Source organism: Homo sapiens, chromosome 18 (assembly GCF_000001405.40).
Source record: "Homo sapiens chromosome 18, GRCh38.p14 Primary Assembly".
Classification (NCBI taxonomy): domain Eukaryota; kingdom Metazoa; phylum Chordata; class Mammalia; order Primates; family Hominidae; genus Homo; species Homo sapiens.
In genome coordinates this window covers 59,352,194-59,365,251 of record NC_000018.10, presented here as the reverse complement: position 1 = coordinate 59,365,251, position 13,058 = coordinate 59,352,194, and the positions used below count along the sequence as shown (strand labels likewise).

The 13,058-nt window shown below is 39.3% G+C and overlaps 1 protein-coding gene across 1 annotated transcript in view, besides 4 other annotated features; it reads left to right on the top strand.

Moving 5' to 3' along the window:
* Nucleotides 5,703-6,002: a silencer, noted in NCBI's record as "silent region_9496". NCBI's record gives its function as "represses an Ori minimal core promoter by ATAC-STARR-seq in GM12878 lymphoblastoid cells {active_cell/tissue: GM12878}" and the evidence as "EXISTENCE:reporter gene assay evidence [ECO:0000049][PMID:35858748]".
* Nucleotides 5,987-13,058, top strand: part of LMAN1 (lectin, mannose binding 1) — a 31,443-nt gene continuing 24,371 nt past the window's right edge. Inside the window, exons 1-5 of the mRNA NM_005570.4 lie at nt 5,987-6,221; nt 9,594-9,748; nt 9,832-9,939; nt 10,672-10,733; nt 11,951-12,050. Coding sequence (NP_005561.1) covers nt 6,008-6,221; nt 9,594-9,748; nt 9,832-9,939; nt 10,672-10,733; nt 11,951-12,050 — 639 coding nt within the window. The 5' untranslated portion in view covers nt 5,987-6,007. The remainder of the gene's footprint in view (nt 6,222-9,593; nt 9,749-9,831; nt 9,940-10,671; nt 10,734-11,950; nt 12,051-13,058) is intronic.
* Nucleotides 6,033-6,222: an enhancer, noted in NCBI's record as "active region_13415". NCBI's record gives its function as "activates an Ori minimal core promoter by ATAC-STARR-seq in GM12878 lymphoblastoid cells {active_cell/tissue: GM12878}" and the evidence as "EXISTENCE:reporter gene assay evidence [ECO:0000049][PMID:35858748]".
* Nucleotides 6,413-6,462: an enhancer, noted in NCBI's record as "active region_13414". NCBI's record gives its function as "activates an Ori minimal core promoter by ATAC-STARR-seq in GM12878 lymphoblastoid cells {active_cell/tissue: GM12878}" and the evidence as "EXISTENCE:reporter gene assay evidence [ECO:0000049][PMID:35858748]".
* Nucleotides 6,473-6,572: an enhancer, noted in NCBI's record as "active region_13413". NCBI's record gives its function as "activates an Ori minimal core promoter by ATAC-STARR-seq in GM12878 lymphoblastoid cells {active_cell/tissue: GM12878}" and the evidence as "EXISTENCE:reporter gene assay evidence [ECO:0000049][PMID:35858748]".

Below are 13,058 nucleotides of genomic sequence, written 5' to 3'. Positions count from 1 at the left end.
AGCATTTAGGTGATGCCCTACTGAAAAGGGTGTCTTTGATGCTTACAAAGTTATTTAATTATTTATTTATTTATTTTTGAGACAAGGTCTGGCTCTGTCACCCAGGCTAGAGTGCAGTGGCACAATCTTGGCTCACTGCAACCTCCACCTCCTGGGCTCAAGCCATCTGCCCACCTCAGCTTCTAGAGTAGCTGGGACTACAGGTGCGCACCATCACACCCAGCTAATTTTTTGTATTTTTAGTAGAGATGAGGTTTTGCCATGTTGCCCAGGCCGGTCTTGAACTCATGAGCTCAAGCAATCTGCCTGCCTCAGCCTCCCAAAGTGCTGGGATTAGAGGTGTGAGCCACCACACCTGTCCAGAAGTGTTTTAAGAGGCAGAAAGACACTGAGAAAAATGACAGCTTGGTTGGGATCAAACCTTCTAAAATTTGTGATAATATGATTAACTCTTTGCTCCTCTTTTCTGTGCTGGCAAAAGGTGTCTAGGATGCCAGACTAATAGAACTGTCTCATTTTTAAACCAAATAGACATCTCATAGCACATGCTGATACTGTCTTGGGAGAGCAGAAGGACAAGGAGCAGATTGGGAGATTGGGAGACATCTATTCTTCTTTGTAACCCCCGCTTGCTGAGGGAGCTCTAAGGATCAACGGATTGTTTTTTAATAATTGGTTATCAATTCCAATTTTCTTTGACTCAAGTGATTAAAGGTATTTGTGAAGTGTTATTCATAATAGCAAAAACTGGAAAACAATTCAAATGTCTGTATGAGATTAAATTATGATTATGATATGTTTCGTACAATGAAGTACTAAAAATAGTTAAGCACTTCTAGGGCTGCTAATATAGCACCTGTCTTAAAGTTAGAAAAAGGCACTTCCTCCTGATGGATGTAGTGTGGCAGACTCACAGACTGAGGGCTGATTTCCACCTCCTCTTGTCACCTTGGACAGGCATCCCTGCTCTGGACACAATCATACTGGTAGTACTAGGTAGATCCATGCTTACCTTATAGAAAGATAACTACTTTATGTTATGGAATGAAATATGTATATGCCATACATTTATATCTTCTGATCCTATTTTTAAAAATCAGAGCGTATATATTTGTAAATGCACAGAATAGAAATTCTCTGGAAGGTTGGGTATCACACTACTAATCATTGGTTGACTCCAAGAAGTGGGATTGGAGTTGGGGAGGGGGAGAGAATTGTTTTTACTTTATACAGTTCTCCACTATTTTAATTTTTATATTAGCATATTTTGCATTTGTGATTGTAATATATTTTAAATTTTATTGGTAAAAATTATAAACAGGACCCTAATTAAACTCATTACTGAAAAGAATTTAAACTCTTCACTTTGTAACTCTGCCTTGCAGTTATGCACTATACTTGAAGAGAAAATAATGACTCCATAAAGTCATGAGAAGAGATGAGTGGAGTGACTGTTCTACATAGTGGTTCAGTACACCTCTGTGTTCGTCTTCCTTAGAAACCTCATATATTGTATCCCTGTTGGTTGAAAACTGATTATTTGATCTATGGCATAACCTTGAACCGAAAAGTCTTTGTTCTTATCATATAATTATATCCTTCTAACTTGGATCACTACTGCATTTTGTAATCCTAATAGATAATCTATAAGGCACGATCATGTTCTTGATTAACTGTGCAGGACACACTGTTGGTTATATTTGGATCTTTCATTTCTGCCTTCCTCCTTCTGAACTGATCCCCAGTTGAGTTCATACGTTCACTCCCCATCACACACACATAACCCTTGTGACTCAGGGGAAGCTAACTCCATCCCCAGTTCCCAGGGTAGATCAGGATTTGTCTAACTAGTGATTCTCAGAGTGTGGTCCCCAGATAAGCAGCATTAGTATCACCTGGAGCTTGTTAGCAATACAAATTATTAGACCCTATTCTCAACCTACTAAAACTAGAAATGTGGGTCTCAGAAATTTGTGTTTTAACCAACTCCAGAAGTGATTCTGAATGATATTAGAGTTTGAGAACCACTGTTCTCAATCAAGGCTGGTAATCTTGTACTCTTTACCAGCAACTGATTCAGTGCTTGGTCTTCCCCTGGCTACGGTTAATGTTCCAAAGATGGACATGTAACCTAGATTGACCTAATCAGAATGAAAGGCAGAAATTTTATCCAAGGATGAAAGAGATTTTCTGTCTCTCCCATTGAACCTAAAGAAGATCTGACATCTTAGAACCTTGAGAGAAGCTAACCTGAGGACAAAGTCAATGTGAGGTAGAACCAGAACTTCTCAAAGATAGAGAGAACCTAGTCGTAACTGCCTGGGCCCAGTCCTAATCTAATTTACAGTTCAGTGAGATAACAGATTTCTTTATTGTTTAAGCCACTTTGAATTGGGGCTTTTTTTGCCCTTGCAGCCTAAAGCATTCAACTTATTAAAACACATATAATAATTTTCTAACTGTTCAAAGTTAAATCTGAATTCCCCAAGCAAGTTGTATTCCTACTGCCTTGCCTCTAGTATAGCGGTTTTAACACTTAATTGTCTGATGTTGTGAATAAGAACAAACACATGTGAATGAATGATCATGCACTGAAGGAGCAGGCAGACAATATCGTTTTCATTACTCTTATCAAATACAATTTATTCAAAGTCATTAGGAGGCTCCAAAAATAGTTAATCCACTAATGCAAACAATGAATTGGCATGGTAACCTTAGTTTTAACACTATTTTTGCTGTAACTAAGTGAAATTCTTTCCAGCTAGCTTAAGCAAAACGGAGGTCTATTTTAAGACTACTGGAGTGGCTCACAGACCATGGATTTTACCCCAACTCCAGCCAACAATTATGTGTGCCATTGATGAGGGGAGTGTATCTGGGTCAAAGAAAATTGAAATTGATCACCAATTATGAAAAAACAACCCATTAATCCACAGGGCTCCCTGTGAGTAGGAAGACCAGAAAGAAAAGATATCTCCCAATCTGCTTTTTGGCTTCTTATTCACTCCAGAGCAAAACACCATTCTGTGCTATGTGCTAGAAGACATCCATGGGTTTTATAAATGGGACAGGCCTGTCAATCTTCTGGCATTTGGGATACTTTTTGCTAGCACAGAAGAGGCTGGCAATGAGTCATGGATATTGCCAGAAGATAGTTATAAGGAATCAGGCAGCAAACCAAGCCCTGGTACTGCCACTCCATCTCTCCAGCTCTGTGCAGGGCCCAATGGTGTGTTGAGGGACCCTCATAATTTTTATTCCCCTCCCAATTCAAAAATCTGAGCTTAATTTTTGGAAATTGCCTCAGGCACTAGAGGGTAGTAGGAAATCCCTCCTCATTGTGTTGTACAAAATTTGCAATACGGTATTGCCCTGAAGGTAAAACATCACTTAATTGTAAGGAATTTCCCCTACATGGATTACTTCAAAAACACAGATTTTAAAATTCACTGGCCCAGAGTTCCTGGGGCCTGGAGTAAAAGCATTCTGATCCTTGAAACTTCAGTTTGCCAGGCCCAGTTTCTCAATTTCGCTATTTGTAAAATGGTCTTATCTAACTCAAACCGAAAAGCTCTCAGTTCTGAAGGAAAAATGCTATAAAATTTAAAGTTTAACAACTTAGACAAAACAACAAGCAAGATTCCCAGACATGACACACAAAAAACCCTTACGGGGGAAAATAGTAAATTGAGCTATATTAAAATTATAAGTATCTATTCACTAAAAGACAACATTAAGAGAGTGAAAAGTCATCCCACGAAGTGGGTGCAAATATTCGCTATATGTATATATCCAAGCAGAGACAGGTATTCAGAATAAAGAGTTTCTACAAGCTAACAAAAAAAGTCAGACAGCTGAAGCCCTCACATACTGCTGATGGCAGTGTAAATTAGCACAACCACTCTGAAAATTTGGCAGGATCTACTATGACCCAGCAACTCTACTCCTAGTTACATACCCAGTAGAAATTTTTTTTTATTATACTTTAAGTTCTAGGGTACATGTGCACAACGTGCAGGTTTGTTACATATGTATACATGTGCCATGTTGGTGTGCTGCACCCATTAACTCTAGAAATGTGTGTTTTTTAAAAAAAAAATCTGGATGCTGGTTGCATGGGAGGTATTCATTTTGGGAAAAATTCATTGAGTTACATTCTTAAGGCTGGCATAATTTTCTCTATATAATATGCTTCAATAAAACAGTTTTTTTTTTAAGAAACAGCTTCACAGAACATAAAGATTTACATTTATGGTTCAGCAAAATTACAAATATTTACTTGTATTATGCTTGAAATTCAGGTCCCTCATGAGTTCAAATCATGCGTAATGAATTGAAAATACTTAATATACATAATGTTTAACATAAAACGGTTCTTAAGATTGAAGGCTTCAATGATAGAATGGCTGGAATTGAAACCTACCTCTGCCACTTACTGTGTGACATTGGGCAAATTATTTAATCTATGCTTCTGTTTCCTCATCTGTAAATGGAAATATTAATGGCATCTACCTTAGAGGGCTGCTGTCAGCATTCAATAAGTTAACATATGTTGAAGGCTTAGTGCAGTTACACACAGAAAGCACTCAGTAAGTGTTTGCCATTTTTATAACATTAATGTTTGTTTAACAAATATTTATGGAATCTTCACTCTGTGCAAGGCATAGAGCTGGTTGCCAGAGCAATGAGAGAACCAAAGAAAATAAAATGATTAAATCCTATGGGTTGAAAACCATGGAGAGTCCAGGGCAATGACGCACATACACCATACAGTGGATAAATGTTTGTTACTGCTGCTGCTGAGATAGCAGTAAGTATGGTACTTTCATTTAAATTACATCTCGAGACTAGCAGGCGGAAAGCCTTAAATCCATATTCAACTTGAAGGTTTTATTTGAGCACTAGAAAGAGATTTAACAGTAATGGCCCATGAATCCGAAGATGGGATTCAACTTCCAAAACTGGGAAGTTAATGAAAAATAAGTTTAAGTAATGCGGGTATTGAGTCCCTAGGGCTAGTGTGGCGTTCATGTAGCCCACACGAACAGAGCTAATAAAAAGCCATGTGTAAAAACAATATAAATCATACTGCTGTTTCTTGGACTTGAAAAACTCATCATGACACATTTTTGAAAAAACAAAACTTTGGATTACCATGAATATTTTGACGATATTTTTTCCTAAGCAAGGGAAAGAGGAGTCCCCTTTAAAATATAGAACGTATTCATTGAGTGGAAGACCGATCCTATATCAAATGTCCAGGTTCTACAGACGCCTGGGTCCATAGCACATTATCCCTCTCACCAAAACCAAACCAAACCAAAGTCAGTTTCATTTGAATGCACTCTTGCCATGGTTTCAAAATTTGGAAAGCTCTTGGAATTAAATTTTGAGATGTAAAGGCTGGCTGACAAATTCACAGAAACCCTCTTTCCGACACCAACTTATAAATCCTAAGGCATCCTACAACCCCGTGGGTGCTGGTTTCTAGTTTGCAACGCTCTAACATAGCTTGGTAGAGCTCAGTGGGCTGGGACCATAAGCATTCGGGATTGTGCCACTGAAAAACTGATGTCACATCAAAAGGAACACCTTTCTTCTAATATACTAAAAAGGTTTTGTACAGGCTGGGTCCAGAGGTCTTAGGGCTAGCCAATTCCTGCTCCCAGGTATTCTAAGAAGCCGGAGAAAGCTCCCTGCAGGTAAGGACCCATCGGCGCTTCCCGCACTCTGCCGCGCGGGAAGCGAAGGTTGGAGTCCTTTCCCCACCCCCGGAGGGTGGGCGGGGCCGAAGGACCGCACCGCCCCAGACCCGCCCCCTGCGCGTGGCCCCGCCCACAGCTGCTCCTGGCCGTGCGGCCGCGCGGAAAGCGGAGGCCGGGGGCGGGGCTCACCCCTTGCCCTTGGGGGTCCCCCGGGCTCTGCCAATCAGCGAGCGCCCTGTTGGCCATCCGCAGCCATCCGCGCCCCTCCCTCTCCCGCCCTCCTCCGCGTTCCAGAATCCAAGATGGCGGGATCCAGGCAAAGGGGTCTCCGGGCCAGAGTTCGGCCGCTGTTCTGCGCCTTGCTGCTGTCACTCGGTCGCTTCGTCCGGGGCGACGGCGTGGGAGGAGACCCCGCGGTCGCGTTGCCACATCGCCGTTTCGAGTACAAATACAGCTTCAAGGGGCCGCACCTGGTGCAGAGCGACGGGACCGTGCCCTTCTGGGCCCACGCGGGGAGTAAGCCGGAGCAGAGGGCTGGGGGCCGGGTTCCTCTCCCCCTTCTGCTGCCTCTTCGCCTTTCATCCGCGGCTACCCTGGTGTGCTGAGGTTCCCGTTCCAGCAGCTGCACACCATATGCGCTGTGGAGGGGACCCTCCTGGCAGCCCCTCCGCCGGGTCCCTCCTGGTTCGCACGGTTCCCTCCGCTTGTCCCCGAGTCTTTCCCTCACCCATTCTGTTCTCTCTCACCCGCCTGCTGTCTTCCCTTCTTTGATCTCGTCGGTACTTTCCGTTGGATCTAGAGGTGTTTGGTTACCTCCTACACTTCCTAGCACTCAAACTTGCTTCTAGGTATCATGTTTCACAACGCCACGTCTCTAGGAGAAATGTGCCCTACCCCCAGCCATCCCAACCTGAGACATGTTCTAGAAGCCCCCTTACTTCCTTTCCCGCTTCCACCCCCCACCCCCGATCCCCGATTTCTTTGCTCCGGTGTTAGCAATGGTTAATGCTTCGCTTGAACCCCATGCCCACTGACGGCTCCTGAGATGGCATATAGTAGTATTAGAGTAATTTTTTAAGTCTTTGTATGTCAGAAGACATTCTTATACTGTTGGAACTACACATTTTCCTCTCAGTGACTTGGTGTGGTCTTTGATCTTTTCTCTCGTAGTAACACATTATGTAACTTTTTAGGAGAAGGGATATATTTTTAGGGATTGATTGTTTCTGAACCTGAGACTAAGAATAGCATTACATTTTTAGCCCTTTAAAAAAATTGGAAGCATTGAAATAATCTTGGGTTCATATTTTATTCACTCTCTGTGTTTGGCACTTTTGTAGATAAGAGAGCCTTGCTAGAGCATTTACTTACGTGAAAGAAAACATATCTGCACTTTTTAGTGCTGATGTGTCACTGCTGACTAAGGAGTCAATCGTAGCACTTGGCATGACATAAGCTCTGTTCAGTGACCATCAGATATACCCGTTGAACAAGTGGCAAATGCCTTTATATGAGATGAGGAGCTCTGGCAGTTTGAATTCTATCTTTGTGTGTGATTAATCTTTTTTTTTTTTTTTTTTTTTACTATAAGGTTTAGGGTACATGTGCACAACGTGCAGGTTGGTTAGTATGTATACATTTGCCATGTTGGTGTGCTGCACCCATTAACTAGTCATTTAACATTAGGTATATCTCCTAATGCTATCCCTCCCACCTCCCCCATAAGTAATCTTTTATATAAGGTTTTTATACATCACTTTAGATTATCCAGTTCTTGAAACAAAATGTTTCATTTCTAGAAAGTAATTACTGAATAGGAAGCACCCTTTTAGGAAGCGCTATTTCTCTCAAATTAATGTGTAATTGAAAGGTATAGATTTTAATTTGACTTAATGACCAAGTCATTAAGTAGTTGAAGTAGAGTGCAGTTATTTCGTTACTCAGCAGTCATTTATTATGTGCCCATGCAGCAAGGGTATATTACTGGGCATTTGTTATCAAGGTATCTCTATTCTTGATACACAAAGGTGATGCAAATGATATCAAACACAAGTTTTTGGAGTTTTTGTTTCTATTTGTGGGATGATGAATTATTCAGTAGTGATGGATTTGTTCACACATTTTCACTTCTACACCTCTCCACTGCCTGCCTGTTCTTCTATCCCTTTTCTCTTTTTCTCACACTCACATACACTACATTAGCCAATTAGGAATGTTAATCAACTAGTCAAATCAGCTACCTTGACTTCCTTTACAGAGCCGGAACCAACTAATCTATTCTGCTGCAGAAATGTCAAGATAATGTACCAGTAAATTAAAGCCGTGTGGCTAGAATGAATTTGAAACAAAGTATTAGTATTTTAGCCATGATTTATCTGGCTACTGGCTCTGGGAATCTCTGCTATAGACATCCCTTGCTTTCATTGTCACTGTAGTTTTTGCATAAGCCTCACTGTAACTACATTGATCATTTTTTTCTTTTCGTTTTGCTCTGCAATTCATTACTTTAAAAAAAAAGTAGAGAAATTTAAGATCTAGTTTAAACACAGCCCTTTACCTTCAACCCCAAATTAAGACCAAATCTATGGTGTTTCTCTTTCTTAACTCTAATGTTCCTTTAGTACACTTAAGGCCATAAGGGCAAAAAATGATAATTTGTAACCCTTTATAGCTCTCAGAGTTCTTTCACTTTCATTCTCTGATTTGATCCTTAGTAGACAAGGCGGGTGTTATCTGTTTTATAGATGAAAAACTGATGTTCAGAAAGGTTAAGGTTTTTGAAAAAGGATACATAAGTAGTAAGTGTCAGTGAAGTTGAACTCAAATCTAGGTCTTCTGATTCTGTGTTCAGTCTCTTTCCATGATGCCCACACCCCATCCTTTGAATGTTTGTAAGTAACAGTGAACAGTGACTGATCCTACTAAAGTATCTCAGCTTTCCTTTTTGTCAACTTTTTTCTACCTGTAAAGTGAGATTACAGTTACAGTTGTATTTCCCAGCATGGGTTTCAGAATTAGTTAATATCTGAGAGCTAGAATTGTTCAAATTTTAAGTCTGATAGACCTTTAGTAATTACCTAGTCTAATAATAGGAGAAATAGCTAACATTTATTGAAACATTTAAAGCTACTTGTGTAGGCACTTAAATACCTATGAGGCTGTTCAAGAAATGGAGTAACTTGCCTACAGATCAAACAGCTAGTAAGTAGTAGAGCTGGGGCTTGAACCTAGCCTGGAGATGTAAACCACCGTTTTAGGGATCACTATTTTCTCTGAGAATCTTCTGAAGAATTGCTTTTTGAAGTTCAGTTGACCCTCTCCATGGAAGAATGTATATAAGTACAGTATTTTGCATATAACTTTTAGGGTGTTTATGGAAGTGATCGAGCCTAGCTCCTTCATTTTACAGGTAAACATATGGTGAATCCAAGAGAATAAGAGAATTATTTGCTCAAAGTCACACAGCTGAACTGAGACTAGGAACAAGTCTCTTGATTCCTAGTGGTATGTTCTTTTCACACTGTTTGAGCTTTCTAACCTTTGCAAACAGGTAAAATACGTTGCAGCTTTTCTAAAAATACAAATTTTTAAGGTTTTTAAAAAGAATGTTATGAGACTCAGATAGTTTGCCTTAAAGTCATAATTCCCTTTCTCTCACCCACTGTCCCTGTAATTTTTAGTGTATGAGTGTAGCTTTAATTTTTTTTATTTGATAAGGGAGGTGTTAGCCCTAAACTTTTAAAGTTAAAACTGTCAACATGAAATTTTTTCCAAATCATTATTGTACAGGTTACTAAGTCTCTGTAGGTATATTTAGCAGTTTGGAAATGATCATTGAGTTTTACCTAATTATAACTTAAAGCTTTTTTCCCCTGATTTCTGTTCTAGATGCTATTCCAAGTTCAGATCAAATTCGAGTAGCACCATCTTTAAAAAGCCAAAGAGGCTCAGTGTGGACAAAGACAAAAGCGGCCTTTGAGAACTGGGAAGTTGAGGTGACATTTCGAGTGACTGGAAGAGGTCGAATTGGAGCTGATGGCCTAGTATGATCATTTCTTTAACTTAGAAAATGTGCATAAATGCATATACCACTAGCCTCTAACTGTTCCCTATTACATATTTTCAGGCAATTTGGTATGCAGAAAATCAAGGCTTGGAGGGCCCTGTGTTTGGATCAGCTGATCTGTGGAATGGTGTTGGAATATTTTTTGATTCTTTTGACAATGATGGAAAGGTATATTTATTGTCAGGACTGTTATCCACTTTAATACATCTATCAACAGAGTTAGGCTGTGAGAAATAATAGCTTATTCAATGCTTTCATCAGTTTGATAGTACAGAACTCCCCAAGCTATATGGTAAATGTGATAATTAGTCTTTATATAGCTAGGAATGTATCAGTTTAATTTACATGTGCATGATTTTTTGTACATCAGCTTGAGGGCATAGTAGAGCCCTGACTCTCAGAACTTTGCAGTGACCCCTGCTCCCATGGCCCTATTTAATGGATAAATACAAATCCTTAGACGTAGGTGGTGAAAACAGTAGTGTTTAGGAGACTCTACTAAACACTTACATAAGCACATCCAAGTCCATGACTAATGCTAGCTCACATATTCATGTCTGGTCATATGTTAATCATTCTTTTTGATCGGGCCAATTTTTCTGATGATCTCTCCTAAAACAGTTAAGATCAAAATGTACTTACAAATTGGAAACATTAGCTTGTGGCTTAACAGCCTTAAGGTTGATGATCTTCCCATCAGCTGGTTGTTTCTCTATTAATTTTCAGGGGTTATTGTTAGCAATTTAAAGAACTTTAGTAATTCCTTGAGTGCCAAGGCCAGGTTATTTTAAAATTTTGAGTCCTAGAATCTTAGATATGTAAGTCACTTCATAGTACATCAAGAATGATGTAGAATGCTTTGATTAAAGACATTTTTTAAAATGTTTTCCTTTTTTTTAGAAAAATAATCCTGCTATAGTAATTATAGGCAACAATGGACAAATCCATTATGACCATCAAAAGTAAGTGTGTGTTTTTTACATTACTCCTGATTTCAGCTTCTTTTTGGAATCCTTATGAAATACATTGTTTCAAATCTGAACACCTTCCAAATGAAAAAAATACTGTTCTTTTTCTTGAGACATATTTTGTAACTTGGTAGAAAGGTTTTATTTTATTTGGTTCTGTTCTGAAGTTCTATCTGTGGACCATCTCAGATTCAACCATGGTATGTGTTTTTAATTTAACCTCAAATTATTTAATAATATACTTTTGAAAGTTTATAGACTGTTCCTGGCTCTCAGTGATGCCACTAATCATGCATTTTTATCTTCATTAAAAGGGATCTTTAAAAAATAAAGTTGAGCCTTGATTATTAAGGCTGATGATTAAGCAATTTATGCCATCTTATTTAACTTCAATATTGTGTTATTTAAAGACTCAGTGGTTTGCAGAGATTCTAAGTGTTCAGTACAGTCAACCCTCTGTATTTGTGGGTTCCGTATCTGTGGATTCAACCAACTGCAGATCAAAAATAATACAAATTATTTTGTGTACGCAACAAGAATACAAATTTTAAAATACATTGTAACAACTATTTACAAAGCATTTACATCATATTAGGTGTGATAAGTAATCTAGAGATGATTTAAAGTATACAAGAGGATATGTACACGTTATATGTAAATACTGTGCCATTTTATATAAGGGACTTCAGCATCTGAGGATTTTGGTATCCACAGGGGTCCTGGAACCAATGTCCTATGGATGTTGAAGGATGACTGTATATTTATAATGTATATAAATTAGGTATGTACATTTTTTATTTTCACGTGTTTGTTGTGGAGGAAATAGCTTTTAACCAGTGAACTGTAAGAAAGGTGACTTATCCATGTGCCTGTTTACTGTTTTTCTGCCTTAGTGAGTTTCAGCCCTGGTAGTTCATCATAACTCCCTATGGAGCTATTTAAAATGGAGGTGCCTAGGCCACCTCCTTTTGATTCTGCTTCAGTTGATTTGGAGTGGAATCTACATGTTAAAAGCCCAGAGAGTGATTCATGTTCTGCCCTAGGGTAGAGATTCACTGCCTTAGTCTCATGTAGTCTCGTGTAGTCTTTTGAGTAAATAACATAAAGTATCTCAAGACTTTTTCATAACTTGATATTATTTTAGTCTTCCTGAATTTTTAAATATTGAAAAGCTGAGTGTCTTGTCTGTTTTCCTCCCCCTTACACTATAGTGACGGGGCTAGTCAAGCTTTGGCAAGTTGCCAGAGGGACTTCCGCAACAAACCCTATCCTGTCCGAGCAAAGATTACCTATTACCAGAACACACTGACAGTAAGTAACATCTATTTAGAGAGAATCAAATAAACAATGTTACAGTATCACTTTTCATTTTGAATTTTTGATAGAAATTAAATGCACTTAAATTTGGATATGCTTACATACTCTTCATTGTTACTCTAAGAGAACGGAGGTGGCTTCACAGCTCAGTGTAAGTGGTCATCTGTTGTAAACCCCTGATGGTATGTTTCCATTTAGTCAGTAAATGTTTAAGCCCCCTACTGTATAGCACATGTGAGAGATATATATATCTATAGATAGATAGATAGATAGGTAGATAGATAGATAGACGGATAATCTCCAAGCCTTCAGGATACAAATATGAGTAAGACAGATGGACTTTCTCCCCAGAGAGCTTATAGCCTAACAGAGGACACACAAATGTATCATTCCTATGCTGTGTGATAAATGCTGCGTTGCAGACACTATCAAGCGGTCCTGTGGTTAGAATCCTGTAACTGCCAGGTGGAGGTGGGGAAGGGCAGGAACATTTTCTCAGAGTTGAGCTGTGCCCTACAGGGAGATCAGGAAGTTCCTGGGAGTTGGGGGAAGAGGGTGTGTGTGTGTGCGAGTGAGTGGGTGTACTCCAAGCACAGAAAGCAGGCATAGGCCCTTGAGAGAGCTTGAAATATTTTGGAAAGGCATGTAGTTTGGTGTGGCTGGGAGATAGAAGAGATCAGTGAGCAGTGAGGTTGAAAGGGCAGTAACAGGCCTTGCACAGCTTCCTGTAGTTTAACCCATAAGAAGCTTTTAAAAATGTTTAAAGGGTTTTAAGCAGGAAGTGAAATTATCAGATTTGCAATTTAGAAAGATGACTTAGGTCCCAGTATTCTTAGTACCAGTTTTCTTGGGGTTAGGGGTGAACACAGTTGTTGAGTCAAGGAGAGTTCCTGAATATAGCCAATTGGACAGCTAATTGGTACTATTTACTAGCAAAGAAGCAGCACATTTGTTTGTGTTTTATCTGTTTGGGGGAGGAATGGGAAATCAGAGGGTTGGTAA